The sequence below is a fragment of the Homo sapiens genome, chromosome 14 (assembly GCF_000001405.40).
Source record: "Homo sapiens chromosome 14, GRCh38.p14 Primary Assembly".
NCBI classification, from domain to species: Eukaryota; Metazoa; Chordata; class Mammalia; order Primates; family Hominidae; genus Homo; species Homo sapiens.
In genome coordinates, this window is record NC_000014.9 from 24,938,813 (window position 1) to 24,955,411 (window position 16,599).

At 39.7% G+C, this 16,599-nt stretch overlaps 1 protein-coding gene across 28 annotated transcripts in view, besides 2 other annotated features; it reads right to left on the reverse strand.

Annotated features, from left to right (window-relative positions):
- Positions 1–16,599, reverse strand: part of STXBP6 (syntaxin binding protein 6) — a 240,694-nt gene that overhangs the window by 129,359 nt on the left and 94,736 nt on the right. The window lies entirely within an intron of this gene.
- Positions 9,611–9,905: a silencer, noted in NCBI's record as "tiled region #10677; HepG2 Repressive DNase matched - State 6:EnhF". NCBI's record gives its function as "represses a minimal TATA promoter and a strong SV40 promoter by Sharpr-MPRA in HepG2 cells {active_cell/tissue: HepG2}" and the evidence as "EXISTENCE:reporter gene assay evidence [ECO:0000049][PMID:27701403]".
- Positions 15,384–15,453: an enhancer, noted in NCBI's record as "active region_8223". NCBI's record gives its function as "activates an Ori minimal core promoter by ATAC-STARR-seq in GM12878 lymphoblastoid cells {active_cell/tissue: GM12878}" and the evidence as "EXISTENCE:reporter gene assay evidence [ECO:0000049][PMID:35858748]".

Here is a 16,599-nt window from a genome sequence, read left to right on the forward strand (position 1 = left end):
TAGACATTCCTAACAGAAAACTCACTTTGCTGGTTTAAGGCACTTAACATGTATTCAACTTGCTCTATTAAACCATTGTGGCAGTACAACAAAGGCAGAGGGTTGATGTCCAGGGGGAAGGAAGATCATTTAAGCAGCCAACTCCAGGCAGCCAGAAAATGCCATAAACCTAAAACTGAAAAATAATAATAATAATAATTACATAAGTACAAGGGATTGAAAAGCAGAAAATGAAGTCTAATTACATCTCAGAATTCAATGAAAAGAAATTAATCATATTGCATTTATTTGCTTTTGTCTGATAAAGTATCACTGATTTAGATCAAGCCAAATATCAAGATATTTTGCTACAGTTACCAACTAACATTTAAATCCCCTCCTAGTGCTCCGGTGACTGTGGCCAAGGCAACAGAGATACTGCATCAACAGACCACAGGGATATATGGAGTACATAATTGCGGATCTTGGTGTTTGAATACCTTCCTGACTTCTATTCTAGTTTGGGAAGTCTTGACTCCAACCCTATATCTGTTAGGCAAGCTAAAGGGTAATGGGTTCCTCTGAAACAACAGAAGTAAATGAAAGATTTTAGCAAAAGGTTCAATTAGATGTGGTTACATAACATTTTTTCAAGTAAATCTACATTACCTTTTTTTTTTTTTTCCAGTTACAGCTCTGTTGGGCTAACCTGAGAGGTGAAAACTGAGAACTTTCTGCTATTCTGCCTATGGCGATGGCCATTACCTCTAAATGAAAGCTATCAAGATATGTTTGTTGAATTCGTATGTATACTTCACATGTACTGTATCATGATGTTGAAACTCTGTGATTCTAGACCATCGCTGTCCAATAGAAACAAAATGTGGGTAACATTCATTTTCTAATAGCCACATGGAAAACTACAAAGAAACAGGTGACATTAATCATGTATTTCATTTAACCCAACACGTAATAAATATAAGATTATTGAGTTATTTTACATTTTTTTAATACTGAGTTTTAAAAATCTTGTGTGTTTTGTAGACTTCATGGCACAATTTAATGGGGATTGGTTTTAATTACAAGTGCTTGATAGCCACATAGAGCTAGTGGCTGCTGTACTGGACAGCACTTTACAGAGCATAACAAACTGAGTCCCAGTCCATATCCTCAAAAAGAAGAGTCCTGGTGCCTGTCTGCACAGTATCTTGAAGAGGTGTGTCATCACTGACCTCCTGCACTGTAATCCCCAAATGTCACTCTTTTTGAGAAATCTGATATATTCGTACTTTCATAAAGCTGAGAGAGCAATGTAAACCCTACAGATTAACTCTGGAGAGGAACTTGCCTGTCCATCCAGTTGGTACCTATAGCAGAACACCCAGCTGATGTAAACAGGGTGATTTTACTGGAATGATTCCCAGTATAAGGTATCGTGACAGAATCTGGTGTTTAGAAGCAAAGGAGAAGGATGGTTTCAGTTCTAAAACTCTTACCCTTCTGTGGGAACAGGTAACCTCAGTAGAAGTATGATTGCTATATGAGAGAGGGCAAAATACAAGAATTGTGACTATACAAATTCAACATTCATATTGAAAGCATTCTGCCAAACAGTGGTTCCATGGGTGAGAAACCCATGAAGTATGTGATGTGTGATTAAGATGTGTTCATTTTCCCTTTATCCTCAATCTGTCATCTGTACCTTTTTATTATTGCTCAGCTGGCTTGATGCTGGAAGCCTCTTGACCTTTCACTAAATAGGCTGACTGCAGACTGATAAGAACTATGGGTCTATTTTTATGCTGGTATGTGTCAGAGACCTGTTGACCTGGATGCAAACCTTTTCCAAAATCAATCATCTTCCTCCCTGACTCCACGGCAACTTCCCCCACTCTACTCTACCTCAGCCCAACCCTAAATAGACATTAAAACCAAGTAACTGGCCTTGCCGAGGTGGCTCACGCCTGTAATCCCAGCACTTTGGGAGCCCGAGGCAGGTGGATCACAAGGTCAGGAGTTCAAAACCAGCCTGGCCAAGATGGTGAAACCCCATCTCTACTAAAAATACAAAAAAAGTAGCCAGGTGTGGTGGCAGGCACATGCAATCCTAGCTACTTGGGAGGCAGAGGCTGAGAATTGCTTGAACCCAGGAGGCAGAGCTTGCAGTGAGCCAAGATTGCGCCACTGCACTCCAGCCTGGGCGACAGAGCAAGACTCTATCTTGGAAAACAAAACAAAACAAACAAACAAAAACAAGCAATCATGCAGGGAGAGGCTTGACAAGCAGGAGATATATCTCAACCCAAGAGATGAAAAATTCATCTATAAAATTTGACAACATAGCCAGTTTCTTTTGGTTCCATCCACAAATTTACTTACTAGTACTGAGCATATGCCACACACCATGCTAGATACCATATTCACAAAGCTGAATAATAGATGGTCACTAACCTCAAAGTCCTACCATCTAGTGGGAGAGTAGACAAACATAAATGCAGGACAATGTGGCAAGGGCCATGATAGGGATGCATGAGGACACAATGGGAGTGCAGAGGAGGCCTCATGCAGGCCTCTGTGAGAAAGAACATGAGAGCTGAGGATGGAAGGATTCATTACATTCAGCTGGGTGAGGAAATAGGAAATGTGATTAAAGGATGATGGAAGAATATGAAGGTTCATCAGATTAATCAATATGGCTGACACTGGCATGAAGGTTGTATGTAGCGGTAGGGAAAAGGGTGGCTAGAAATGAGCAGGGGGAGGAGGGAGCAGGAGGTTGAATAGTAAAGAAGTAAGCAGAAACCAGATCACTAAAGGCTTACAAACCTAACCAGAGTTTTGACTTCTGTCCTGGGGCCAAGGGGAGCAGACCCTGTACCCACTAGCCCATGGGTATCTAGCCCAACAGCCCAGCATCTGCAGCAGAACCTACTCTTAGCTGTCTGCTCTTTTCTGCTTTGGACCTCTTTCTTCTTTGGCTCCTTCCTCTCCTTGAGAGAGTGCCATTGCATGTTCTTAACTCAGGGACCACCTGTGTGAGAAAATACCAGAGACTAATACAAGTGAATGCTTCCTTTAGTTTCTGAGAGCCTGTGAGTAGCAGTTACAGGGCCTCACACAGGAGCTGCTGGCTGAATGCCAACAGGCTGCCAGGTGTGCATCTGCACCAGTTCCCCCTCAGCAAGTCTCTCTAGGTGATGTGTTTACTTCAATTCTTTCTGTGTCTGAGAAACAAGATTGCAAATAGGTGAACTGCCGAGAAAAGAGAATGCAAATCTGCTGTTGGGGACACAGTCAACTTGTAAAAAGCAATGATTCAATGAAATTGTAGGATGGAATTTGACAAAATTCCTGAAAGAAAGTGAAGGGAAAGAAAAGTAAACAGAAGAAAACCAGAAATCAACTTTTTCTAACAGGGCCATTTTTGGCCACTAGTGGAGGTCTTGACATGAAGAATAAAAATGATATCAAGGGACTACAAATGGTGCTGTCTGAGCCTCATTTTTACCAGGGAAAACTAGAACCATATTTGAAAGCAGACTGGATAACCAAACATACATTGTCAACAACTTCATCCAGAGATGGAAAACACTGAGCCCAGCAGACTACCTGGAAAGAGTTCACACACTGTGGGTGAAGCTGGGAAGGAGGAGGTTGTTGAAATCACCACATTCAGTTCTCAGCACCTTATGGAACTTCAGGGGCCACACTGAGTGGAAGTCAGTGTGCTGTTCAGAAAACTCATCGTGATGCATGAATGGTGTTCTCTCACCCTGCTTCCAAGATAATCAAACAGCTGGTTATCTTGTCTCCACGCTTTGCCCACTGACGGTCTGATCTTTTATTCAGCATTTATTGAACACAACTGCCTTTGATCTGAGGTCAGGTAGTGCTGTGAAGGCCATGAAAAGAGCAAATCAATTACTCACAAATGGCAGGTGTCTTCACAAAAGATAAAGGGGGTGGTTCATGCCCTTGTGGCCTAGTCCCAATCCCACAGACCAATATCTATGTGCATATTTAATTGCTCTCAAACTGATAGCTATGTAGCAGAAAAATCAAGACAGGTACACCTACTAGCAGGAAGATTAGATTCTTGGCCCAGAGGAGAAAACAAACAAAAGGGGTCACAGAAAAATCTTAAATTAATTAGAATCAGTTAAGAAAAGTGAAAATTCAGTTTCACCTTTCAAATCTGAAATCAGTTTCAGAAAGGTGAAATCCCTTCCAGAAAAGGTGTATGCTCACTCTTCGGAAGTTGGCTGACAGGGTTAGCATCTTGCCCAATATTCTTTCTTTCCTCTTAACAGAACCCTGATTCTGGCACTGGGGGTGGGGTGTGAGGCAAGAAGGCTGGGAAATCTGTTTTCAATCTCACCGTACTCACAACTACAGTGGCCAATGAAACGCACTTGGAAGTCACTTGGGTTTCTGGCAGGACTCACTGAAAGCTGATCTGATCCTTTTGTCTTCTGCCCTGCCCCTTCTTCCTTTCTGAAAGGCAAGTGTGGCCCTGCAGGTGGCCCATACTTCTTGCAACTACAGGCAACTGAAGGCAGGTAAGGCAGAAGAACAGAGGTACCCACCTGGACTCCTGTGAGAAAAAAATAAACTGACTTACTGAAGCCACTGCTTCTTTGGGCTTTTCACTGGGTACAGCTGAATGGAAACCTAACTGATGATTCATTCTAAATGTTTCATCAGAAGCAAAACCTTAAATTTTCACATTTTTCAGTTTTATGTTCCTTATGAAATTTAGTAATTAAATTCTGAATTATTTGTTAAAAAGGTAAACTCAATGGAAACTGCCAGGTTTACTTCTGAAGGAGGACATTTGAAAACATAATTGCTATAAATAATAAAACCAGTTTTTCTTCAGAACTGAACTGAATATATTTAATAAAATGTACTGCTATGTAATTGGATTACAACATTCAGAAAGGAATAAAAATATGTTTCAGTGGTTAGAATAATGTCTATATCTTGACCTTTAAATAAATCACTAAAAATTTTGAACGGTAGGAGCTCTAGCTTTGACTCTGAAGTACCAAAGAACTGAAATAAAAACATATTTCCTTATTTAAAAAGGGTAATTTGGTGATTTGAAATAGTTACTTATTTACATATCATTGAAATTCATTGTTGCTTTTTTGTATTAAGCAACATGATTTTCTTAAATGCTTTGTTTTCCCTCCCCAAAAGTTTTAAACAGAAATTAGTGTTGGTTTTTATTGCTAATTTGTTTTTGTCCTCACCTTTCTCCATATTTCTTTAGCCAGTCAAAATGTAGCATCCTCCACAAGAAGAGGCTCAGGCTATGCAACAAAAAGCTATCACTTCAAGGAACCAACGAGTGAAAACAGGTTGACAATTCATTTTATCACATTCAAAGACGGAGAAACAGTAAAGCTCGGAGGAACCTATTGAGTTCTGCCACCGCACGGAAGGTATCATCCCATCCTCAAGCTTGGGCACGCTGACCACCTAGGAAAGCAGCAAGCTGGGCAGACTCCAACCTCAGGCAGAGGTAAATAAACACAGCCATTTTTCTTCTTGCTTTAAAACATCCAAGGAAAAAATTCTAACTAAAGTTATTTTTAAACACATCATGGCGGAAAAGCCCTTACCCCATCAGACACACAGAGCCAGGGCTCTGCTGGGAGCACATAGGGGATATGGGAGAGAGTTTCCTTGGTAGTTCATAGTGTTCACCAGTGAAAATGCGACTGCCTCAAACAGACATGGCATTTTGTCATGTTCAGATCAAAACTGGAGATGCTGGAATTAGAAGGGGATTTGGGATCTTTTTGTCCAGTACTCTGGGTTTGCCTACCTAAGTTGTTAATGAGTTTTAAACCAAGGTCTTCGATCCGGGGCTCTCATCACTACACTAGACTATGAAGACTTATAGCATGAAACTTAACACATAACCACTGCACTGCTGTCCTAGGTTTTGGACCATCTTCTTCACCTGTTTTGTAGGACAGTACTCTCCATTGCTTTATGGAAGGCATACTAGAAGAGCTTCTAGGTCATTACATGAGCATGGGGAGTTTGTTTGGAGTGTGAAAAGAGTGTGAAAAGATTCAGGGCCTGAATCTTAGCCCTGACTCTGCCACTAGCAAACAATAAGATCTCAGAGATTCTACTCGCTAGGCTTGTACTTCCTGTTGGCAACATGAGAGCAACAGACTCAGTGCTCTCCAAGGCTTTTAATTCAACAAACTGCTTATTAAGTAACTAATCCATGCGTGATGTCTTGAAAGCTTTTGTGTCTCCAAGGGCTCACAATTTATTGGCTATAAAAACAATCCTCAAACTTTGGCATGTATATGAACCAATTAGGAATTTTTTTTTTTTTTTTTTTTTTTTTTTAGCAGATTCCTGACTCCCACTTTCACAGATCATGGTTTGGCAAGTGTGTTGTAGTGGACCCCAGAAATCTGCTATTTTCTGAGCATTCACATTGTTCTGAACCAGTCAGCCTTTGGACCACACCAAAAAACACTACACACGGTGGCTCACACCTGTAATCCCAGCACTTTGGGAGGATTGCTTGAGGCCAAGAGTTCAAGACTAGCCTGGGCAACATAGCAAGACATGTCTTTATAAAAAATAAATAAATAAAATTATCCAGGTGTGGTAGCACACACCTGTAGTCCCAGCTACTCAGGAGGCTGAGATGGGCAGATGGTTTGAGCCCAGGAGTTTGAGGCTGGAGTAAGCTATGATCACGCCACTGTACTCTAGCCTGGGTGACAGAGGGAGACCCTGTCTCAAAAACAAAACAAAACAAAACAAACAAAACACTACCCCTACAAACAAGGCAAATTAGATAACCACTGCCAATATGCTCATAAACAGATAGATGAGCCCTTCCTTGAAGGAATTTCCTGTGTTGCAAAATAATAATAATTTTTAAAATATAGCAATAGCAGCTGACCTTTACCAAGCATCAACTATGTGCTAGGCATTGTTCTAAGGGCTTTATATATAGTAAAAACATATACTAACTCATTGAATCCTCTACAAAAGCAGTGTAATAAGAACTATAAGCTAATAAACTTTCTCTAGAAAAGGGAAAGTGACTTCCAGGGAGACACGCTGGATTTGAGAATAGTCAAAACGGTTGAACTCAAGAGAGTAGAACAATGATGTGGATCGATTAAAGAAAAAGATCTGAAAACGTTTATGCTAATATCTGGTGGATCGAGACATACACCTTCTTAGAGGAAGTATGTGGCAATTAACACCTAACAGAAAGCCAAGATGTTGAATATCTGAAACCAAAGGAACATAAACTCAACTATTCTTTATTTCAACAAGTCTTTGAGTCTACTCTTTATACAAATGTATGAGAGAAACAAATATGAAAAAATGTGTAACAGTAGCACTGTTTATGGGATATTTTCTATATTCTGGGCAGTTTCTGTAAAATTTTATTTTCCTGTCAGAACTACCCTACAAAGTAAATATAACAGTACTAGAAATAGCCCCTAACACTTATTGATCATAGCATTGAGAATGTAGAAAAAGATAAATGTGAAAGAGGGCCCAGGCGAGAGTCCTAAGAGTGTCCAAATTTAAGAATTAAGGTACAGGAGATCTGCAATGGAGACAAAACCAAAAGCAAGTGGTGGGGTAGAAAGGTAACCAAGATAAAATATGGTATGTTTGATGCCAAAAGGGAAAAAATTGAAGGCAGAGAAGGATTGACTATGATGAATGCTACTGAGAGATTGGTGAAAGAGGACTGGAAAAGTAGCCGTTGGCTTAGGGAACACAGGGGTACCCCATAACCTCATCAGGAGCAGGAATCAAGTACGGAGGGTCTCAGTCAGACCAAAGTGGGTTAAAGGGTGAAGAAGAAATTACAAGTGCCCAAGGCAAGTGCAAATGTCTCTCCAAGAAAGGGAGAAGAAGAGAGGTTGGCAGAGGGCCTGGAGTCCTGAATAGATTATTTTTTAATGGGCGACACAAAAGCATTGTTGGTACTTAATGGGAACAGTTTCATAGGGCAGATTGGAGAGAAGATAAATGGAAGAGCAATCCTTGAGAAATTAAGAGGGTATGGGATACAGAGTATTCAGGAAGGGGCTAGCCTTTGTAAAGAGGGAGAAGACCGAGATGACTGGGCCCAGGATTTTTAGCAGTTGGATGACAAGACTGGAGCTTTTGTAACTCAAAATGAAAAGCTACATAGCATGAGTTACTAAAAAATTGCTCTGAAGAAACAATCTGAGAAAGTAAAGGCAGAGTCATGGCCCAGTCAAGTGCTTATTATCTAGAAAATTGAAAGTGGCCCGTATATCGGTAAAAGTCTCCCCAAATAATCTACTCTTGCTTAAAAAGGTGAAAGGGGTCTTTGGAAATAGAAAGCAAAGGAGAAAAGGAATATTAATAGAGAGCTCCATATGTGAAGGGAAAGCAAAATAATTCAGTTTTCTGATTCTCTGGGACCAAATGGGTTTGAATAAGAAGCTGTGGCTTATGCTCAGGCAGGAATGACAGCCATGATGGGAACAGCCCACAGAAGGGAACACAGATGGCATTTTGAAGAAAATAGGGACTGAGAGCACAACGTGGTGAAAGAGACGGCGATGGAGAAGTAAATCAGAAAACTCAGAACAATTTCAACAGAATGCCAGGAGGCAGAGCATTACACATTCTTAAGAATGACGCGCAAAGACCAATTATTGATAAGAAGAGTCACTGCCAACTACATCGGTAAGAAGTCAGGAATGAGAGGAAGAGTATCATTCACGCATCAGTTACACAAATCAGAGGTGTTTCCACAAACACAACTTCTATGCTTAGACACTAAGCGTTCTTCACACATGGGGAAAACTGACTAAAAATAATGGCTGGGGAATGGGCTGTTCAACTTAATAGTAAACTGGCAGTGATTGGATAAGAATGTGTAATATTATAGCTAAAGTTTAATGACAAAAAAAGCCCAAATCCACACATTTCCCAATTGCAGAATGACATTATCACATCCAAACAGTCTTCTTGAAAGGGAATGCCTTCACTCTACATGCCACTTCTCAAGATGTACCTTTTATTTGTAAGGATCCACACTCTAAAGTATCATCTTGTTATATAAACTCATATTTCTACACAGATTGATTTCTGCCTTCACAAAGATTGCTCAGATTTTCACTAGTGACTGACAGTTTCTCAAGTCAGATCCATTTCCAATCTGAAAACAAACATTAATTTAAAACAAAACGGCAGTCTCCATATGCAGTATCCTTTGCCTTAGTATTACACAGAGGGCACAGAGTGCTACATCCATGAAGATGGGAGTGAGAAAAGGCGCCAATCCCACTTCTCTCCGGAGAAAGCAAAAATGTTTCAAAGGGACTTGCACTTTGAAATAGCTCTACAATTCGTGAAGATCCATTTTCAAACTCACAGGGGAAAAGTTTAAAAAGGCAAGGCTTCACTGAGGCTTCTAGGTGGTGGCATTACCTGGTACCTGGACCCAAAGAATCTCCAAGGAAAACTATAATGGTTATGAAAAACCTTGACTTTATGCTCTTTATGGACACTTTTCACCTGCCTAAGTGCAGAGATCTGATGTTTTGCACAGAGAATCTATGGGAAGTGCCAGGAGCTCAGGCTGTAGGGCAGCACTCTGTGGCATGAAGGTTCCTCACACTCAGTAACAGACTGTTACTGGCCCAAATAGGGACCACCTGACACTATGCTCACATAGTTGATTTTCTGAGTTCAGAGAACTCTCTTGAAATGGGAAAACTAGGTGACAACTGTCCTCTGACTGTGAGAACTGTCCTCTGACCATGAGCACATGGAGCAAGCACCATGTTTACTGATTCTTAACAAAGTTTCTCTTCTTTTGTTGCTATCTCAGCAGGGGTTCTCCTGGATTAACCAGAGACCGCTAGGTTGTAGAGTTTATCCTTAACAACACTTTCAAAAATTAATAGCAGGTAATAGAGGAAAATAGAATATTTTGTCTCAGTATAATTTTTTAAAATGTTGAGTCTGTCACACATAACAATAAAGACACAATTAGTGTGACTGATTATTAATTTTCTCTAAGTACTGAAGGAGATGAATTTTTTCCATGTTACAGAAACCTATTACACAGCATAAAATAGGGAATACGATCTAGGAGGCATCCTAAAATCGATCCCAATTTCTTTCTAATACGTTGGTGCACATCTTGATACTCGGTGTCATAGTGACATCAATGGGGGAGAGGAGGGCACACAGAGTAGCTGGAAAGATAAGGAAAGAACTAAAAGGAAAAAGGCATGAAATCCAACTGAATTGGTACTAAATTCAACACGAAAAAGTAGAGAGTAAGCACCATTAGAGCAAACATTTTATTTTACAGACAAATGCTGTTTATAGTTGGATACTTCATTACACAATGCCAGTATTTTAACATCTAATATCTTTTATTTAAAAATATTAATAGAAGTGTAAAATGCCTGAGCCAGAAGGGGAGCCCTTTCTCTAAATTGAGTAATGATTATCTCTTCCCAAGTTTAAAGTTTTTAAATCTTCATAATTTCAGAGAAATGCAGAAACTAAAGAGGATTCTGTAGAAGGGTAACAGACAACTAAAGAGATGGAAAGTGGGTACTTGAGTTAAGCACTAAGTGGCCTTGAAAAGACAAGACTGAGAGGCACCTCAACAACTGTGTTCTAGATTGCTTAGAGCTCTTCCCAAAGGAATCATGGCAAACCATGCTCCATTTTCCTCACAGTGAGAGAGAGACGCACGGAAGATAGTTATAAACAGATAATTTATAAATGGAAATATTTCTCGAATGTAGAATGAGTGAGAAAATTGCCTTTAATCTGGCCAAAATCTATTTCTTTAAAATTTCAGATTAATAAAAATAGTGTTAAATTAAATTTAGCCTAAAGCTGCCTCCTTACATATTTTAAGTTTACCCTAAAAGTTTCTCTTCAAATAATGAACTGTAACATAACTGGATATGTAAACAGGCTGTAAATTACTCCTGTAGTGTAACTGAGCCTCAGCCAATCACAGTGGCTGAGTTTCAGCCAATCACAGGTAGCCAGCTATTCAAACCGTGTTCAAATAAGGCAAATGCCTCACTGTAACCAATCTGGCTGTTCTGCACCTCACTTCTGTTTTCTGTACATCACTTTCCCTTTTTCTTTCCATAAATGTTATCTGACCATGTGGCAGCCCTGGAGTCACTCTGAACCCATTCTGGTTCTGGAGGCTTCCTGATTTGCCAACTGATCTTTGCTCAATTAAACTCTACTAAATTTAGTCTATCTAAAATCTTTCTTTTAACAATTGTAACTGGCTTTCTTATACCTGTCAAATTTCAACTACAAATATTCATTCAATAACCCTCCCTGCTCAATAAATAATTTAAAATTAAAAATGATCACACATGTGGAGCAACAGGCACTCTATACACTGCTGGTGAGAGTGTAAATTGGTACCACCTTTGGAAATCTGTTTGGTATTATACACAGAAGCTGAAGAGGTACATACTCTTCAACTTAGCAATCATATTCCTGGTATATACCCAACAGAAATATGTAATTATATTTACCAAAAGACATGTACCAGAATGTTCACAGCAACACTATTTGTAATAACCAAACCCTCAAAAAGTTTAAATGTCAATGAACAATAGAATAAAATATAGCGGTATGTTTTTATGATAGAATCCTATTCAGCAATGAGAATGACAAACTATAGCTACATGCAACAATATGGATAAATAAATCTCACAAACAATAGCGAGAGGGAAAAAAATCAAGCACTAATAGTACATATTCTAGGATTCTATTTATATAAAGTTATTAAATAGGCAAATCTAAACTGTGGTGCTAAAGATCAAGATAACGGTTATCCTCTGTCAATAATTACCATGTTATCTTTATCTTCTAGTACACATTGAGCTTCTCTAGACACAAAACTATTTAAAAAATTTTTTTAAAGTTGTATTTTAAGTTCTGGGGTACATGTGCAGAATGTGCAGTTTTGTTATGTAGGTACACGCATGCCATGGTGGTTTGCTGCACCCATCAACCCGTCGCCTACATTAGGTATTTCTCCCAATGCTATCCCTCCCCCAGTCCCCTTCCCGACAGGCCCCCCGTGTGTAATGTTCCCCTCCCTGTGTCCATGTGTTCTCACTGTTCAACTCCCATTTATGAGTGAGAGCATGCGGTTTTGGTTTTCTGTTCTTGTGTTAGCTTGCTAACAATGATGGTTTCCAGCTTCATCCACGTCCCTGCAAAGGATATGAACTCATCCTTTTTTATGGCTGCATAGTATTCCATGGTGTATATGTGCCACATTTTCTTTATCCAGTCTATCATGGATGGACATTTGGGTTGGTTCCAAGTCTTTGCTATTGTGAATAGTGCTGCAATAAACATACGTGTGCATGTGTCTTTATAGTAGAATTATTTATAACCGTTTGGGTATATACCCAGTAATGGGATTGCTGGGTCAAATGGTATTTCTAGTTCTAGATCCTTAAGGAATTGCCACACTGTCTTCCACAATGGTTGGACTAATTAACACTCCCACCAACAGTGTAAAAGCGTTCCTATTTCTCCACATCCTCTCCGGACTTTTTAATGAGCGTCATTCTAACTGGCAAGAGATGGCATCTCATTGTGGTTTTGATTTGCATTTCTCTAATGACCAGTGATGATGAGCTTTTTTTCATGTTTGTTGGCAGCATAAATGTCTTCTTTTGAGAAATGTCTGTTCATGTCCTTTGCCCACTTTTTGATGGGGTTGATACACAACTTCTAAAGTGCATGTTTACTTGAAAAATATATTCTCTTACATAGCCCTGAATGCCAAGCAACTCTATTATATTACATGGCTTTACTGTATAATTTTTGGTCATTCTTCATTTAAAAAATTTCTTATGTGATGGAAAAATGTCAAGTTACATAATTATATATTTATATTTCTTTTTGTACAATAGCCAAACTGTTCAAACAGACAGTAAGTTCTTTGCTGTATTTTCACTATTTTAATCCTTCTGGTGTATAAAATGTGTTTCATCCTTTTAAATAAAATATATTTGAAAAACAATTTTTATACTTTCTTTGAATTTACATCTATGAAATATAAATACACATCAGGCAATTGGGAAAGCTAAAACCCAAGTAATATTTGATATTAAGGGATTTATTGTTGTGATACTGGTATTTTGATTGTGTTTTTAGCACATATTTAAAATACTTATATATATAATATACACATATAAAAATATTAAAGAATGAAATGATATAATTTACATAAAAATAATCCAGTGAGAGGCAGTGGATGGGAAATAAATACAATATGACTGTCCAATAGAGCTAGTTACATGGGGATTCATGATATTATTCTCTTTACTGTTACATATTTGTAATTTTTAATAAAAATATTTAAAAATAATAATTACTTAGAAAATTCCATTAAGACAAATAAGCTTATTTCAGGCTGCTCTGCTTAGGGGGTAGCCATTCTTTATCCCTTAAAAAAAAAAAAAAGACAAATAAGCTTATTTCAAACTTACTTAAATGCACGTAGTTAATCTGTCGGCATGAATACAGTTATCAAATATTCACCTATCAATAGCATAGATTTTGTTCTAAACCTCCACAAAGGTCATTGCTAAATTTTGCCCAAATGTAAAACTGAGGAGTATTAATCTAAAATGTCATTTTGTACCTTTCTGAGTTTTTCTAGATAAAACTAAATTTTTGAAGGGGCAGAATTATAGCCATTCATTCTCTGCAATCAGCATTTAATACTCTTAATCATACAAATTTGACCCCAACTCCACAGTTAAAACTCTCTTTGTCATTACAACAAAACTCCGTGTTGAAAGAATTTAAAGTATTGTTATACAAGGAAAAAATAGCACAGTAGGTAGCACAGTAGGAATCAGAAAAACACCTTATCTCACTCAGCATTAGGGAAAAAAGGTACGTTGTTTTCCCTCTTGATTTATTTAATGCTGTCCATAAATTTCATCAAATAAGTAAAAACAAAAGATGTGACCAGAGGGCATTCCAACTCAGAGGAGGAAACCATACCAGGAAGCTTTTGAGAGTAAGATATCCCCAACCATACTTTATTTCTTCATATATTCATGAGCATATGCAAATGCTCAATACAAAGACATGTTCCTGCTCACATTTCTATTGTGTTTCTGATGGGGAGCATGAGGGTGAGAATGATGTCTTCTATACTTTCTACAGCATTCCTTTTTGTCTAAAGGAGGCCAGAAGGCCACACTCCATCTGGAGGCACTAGGAGAGAATCAGTTCCTTGCCCCTTCCCACTTCTGATAGCTGCCAACACTCCTTGACTCATGGCGACATCACCCCAATCTCTGCCTCCATATTCACATCGCTTTCTTCCCTGTGTGTCTCATCTCCCTTTGTGTCACTTGTATAAAGACACATGTGATGGCATGTAGGCGCAGCAGGATGACGATCCAGGGTAACCTCAGCTGAAAATCCTTAGTTACATCCACAAAGACCCTTTTTCCAAATATGGTGAACTTCACAGGTTGCCAGGATGAGGATGTAAACCTATCTTTGAGAGCCATTATCAGCCTCCCTCAACATCACTCTCTGTTTGCTGAGCTGCAGTCACACTGGCCTTCTTTGTGTTCCTCCAAGTTGTCACGCTTCCTTCTGCCACAGGGAGCAGTGCTTCCTCTGACAGTGGCTACCCTTTCCTGCTGCTCCCACGCTTTCCGCATGTCCCCAGGAAACTCTTTTTCAACCCTCATATCCCAGTTTGTCACTCGCTTTCTACTGAAAACACCAAGTTCTTTTGTTCTATGTTTTCTTTCATAGAAATCAACTCAGTATTTCATAGCTGATTAATTTCTCTCTCTCTAAATCCCATGAAAACAGTTGATTATCTTAATTTTTGTCCACAGTAAGATCTCAACAAAGATTTTTATAAATAAACAAAAAACTATCTCAGGCTAAATGGTGGACATAATTAGAATTCTAAGCTGGTGGCCAGTTGAGAATTACTGATACTAATAGCAGAGGCCAGCATCTTCTTCAAAATGGGCATAGAAGAGACCAAGAGCGTGAAGCCACGGAGTGCATAAGAAACATTACTTGCTGTTCTTGGGTGGGGTAAAGGTGACAATAGAGGGGGTTGGAAGAAGAGGGAGAACTCCCAGGATGGGCTGAGGATCCTTGCAAAGGCTGCCAATTCAGAAGAAGAGGACAGGGATTTGGTCACTGGCTCTTAGAGATGAAAGTGACCAGCATTTTTTCAGAGACCACAGGCCCATCAATCATCTCTGGCCTGTGCATAGGGTGTCACAGCTCCTTAATGAAGGTAACAGGGGAAACAAAGCTATTTCACACCTTTCACACCCTCACTGGCTTCTAAGGGAGTTGAGTCCTCTTGACTAGGGGTGGTTTATTTCTATTGTACCTAGTGTTAAAACTGGTTTGGGTAGCAAGGTTTGGTAGCAGCTGAAGAAGTCTGAATTGCTTTGCCTAAGGTGGGAGGGGAGCAGACTGAAGGGGAAGAGAAGACTCTGGAAAGCAGAGCCAGATATTATTAATACTAAGAGGGCTCTGAGAGAAAAGTCCCTTGAGGCAGTCCAGCCAGAGCTTAGGGGAACAGAGAGTGCTGTGGTATTTGCTTTTGTATGTGGTGTAAACACTCTTCCACCTATACAGCGGAATCTTTACTATGTCTACAGGCTCACTAGTGCCTTTTTGCTAAGAGAGTCACCCTTAATGGAGGGGAAAGCAGCACTAAGATCTGCGTGAGAGCTGCCTTTAGTGCGACCACAGATGTGGAACAAGCATGTGCAGGAGGAGCTAGGGGATGAGAGGCCAAGTGGCATCCGGATCCCACTGTGATTTAGGACTGGGCAGGACATAGGTCATCTTTCCTATAAAGTGAGGCTGACATAAGGCAGTAAAATAGTCAACCAAAATTAGCAACAGTCCCCCCTTGGCTTTCACTGACAGAAAAATTCTGAGGGCTGGGCCACAGCCTGACATAGAAGTGGCTTTAGGAAACACCTCTGTCCACAGCGCAGATATAAAGAGCTCAGGCTCTGCAGACAGGAGGATCTGGTTTGAATCCCTACTCCCATATTTACTGGCTCTGTGACACTGGGCAAGTTACTGGGCATACCTACTCCTCTGTCTTCGCATCTGAAGAAAGGAGGTAACATGCATCCATGCCTCTCTGAGAGGGTTGTAGAAGGATTAAGTAAGCTCACACATGTAAGCTGCTTAGTCTAGTAACTGGCATATAATAAGTGTTCAGTTATTGTTAACTATCTTTATTGTTGTTCCCATCCAAAAGTTCTTTGTTGCTCAGGTATTGGTCTATAGAAATTATGTTGAACATGGCAGGAGGAGAGAGTAACATCCTTATGGAGGATACTTAACTGGGTCATCCTCTTCTAAATGGTCAAAGGGCCTGTTAGATTGATGTTAGAGTGATCAACCTCCTGGGGATGGCTACCCTGCTTCACCAGGAGTCCCACATCTGATGCCCAAGTATCCACAGGCCACTCATCCACATTCTTCTGCTCCACCTGCTGTAACAGCCAACTAACCTGCTGCAGCGCCTTCATCTTTCCTACA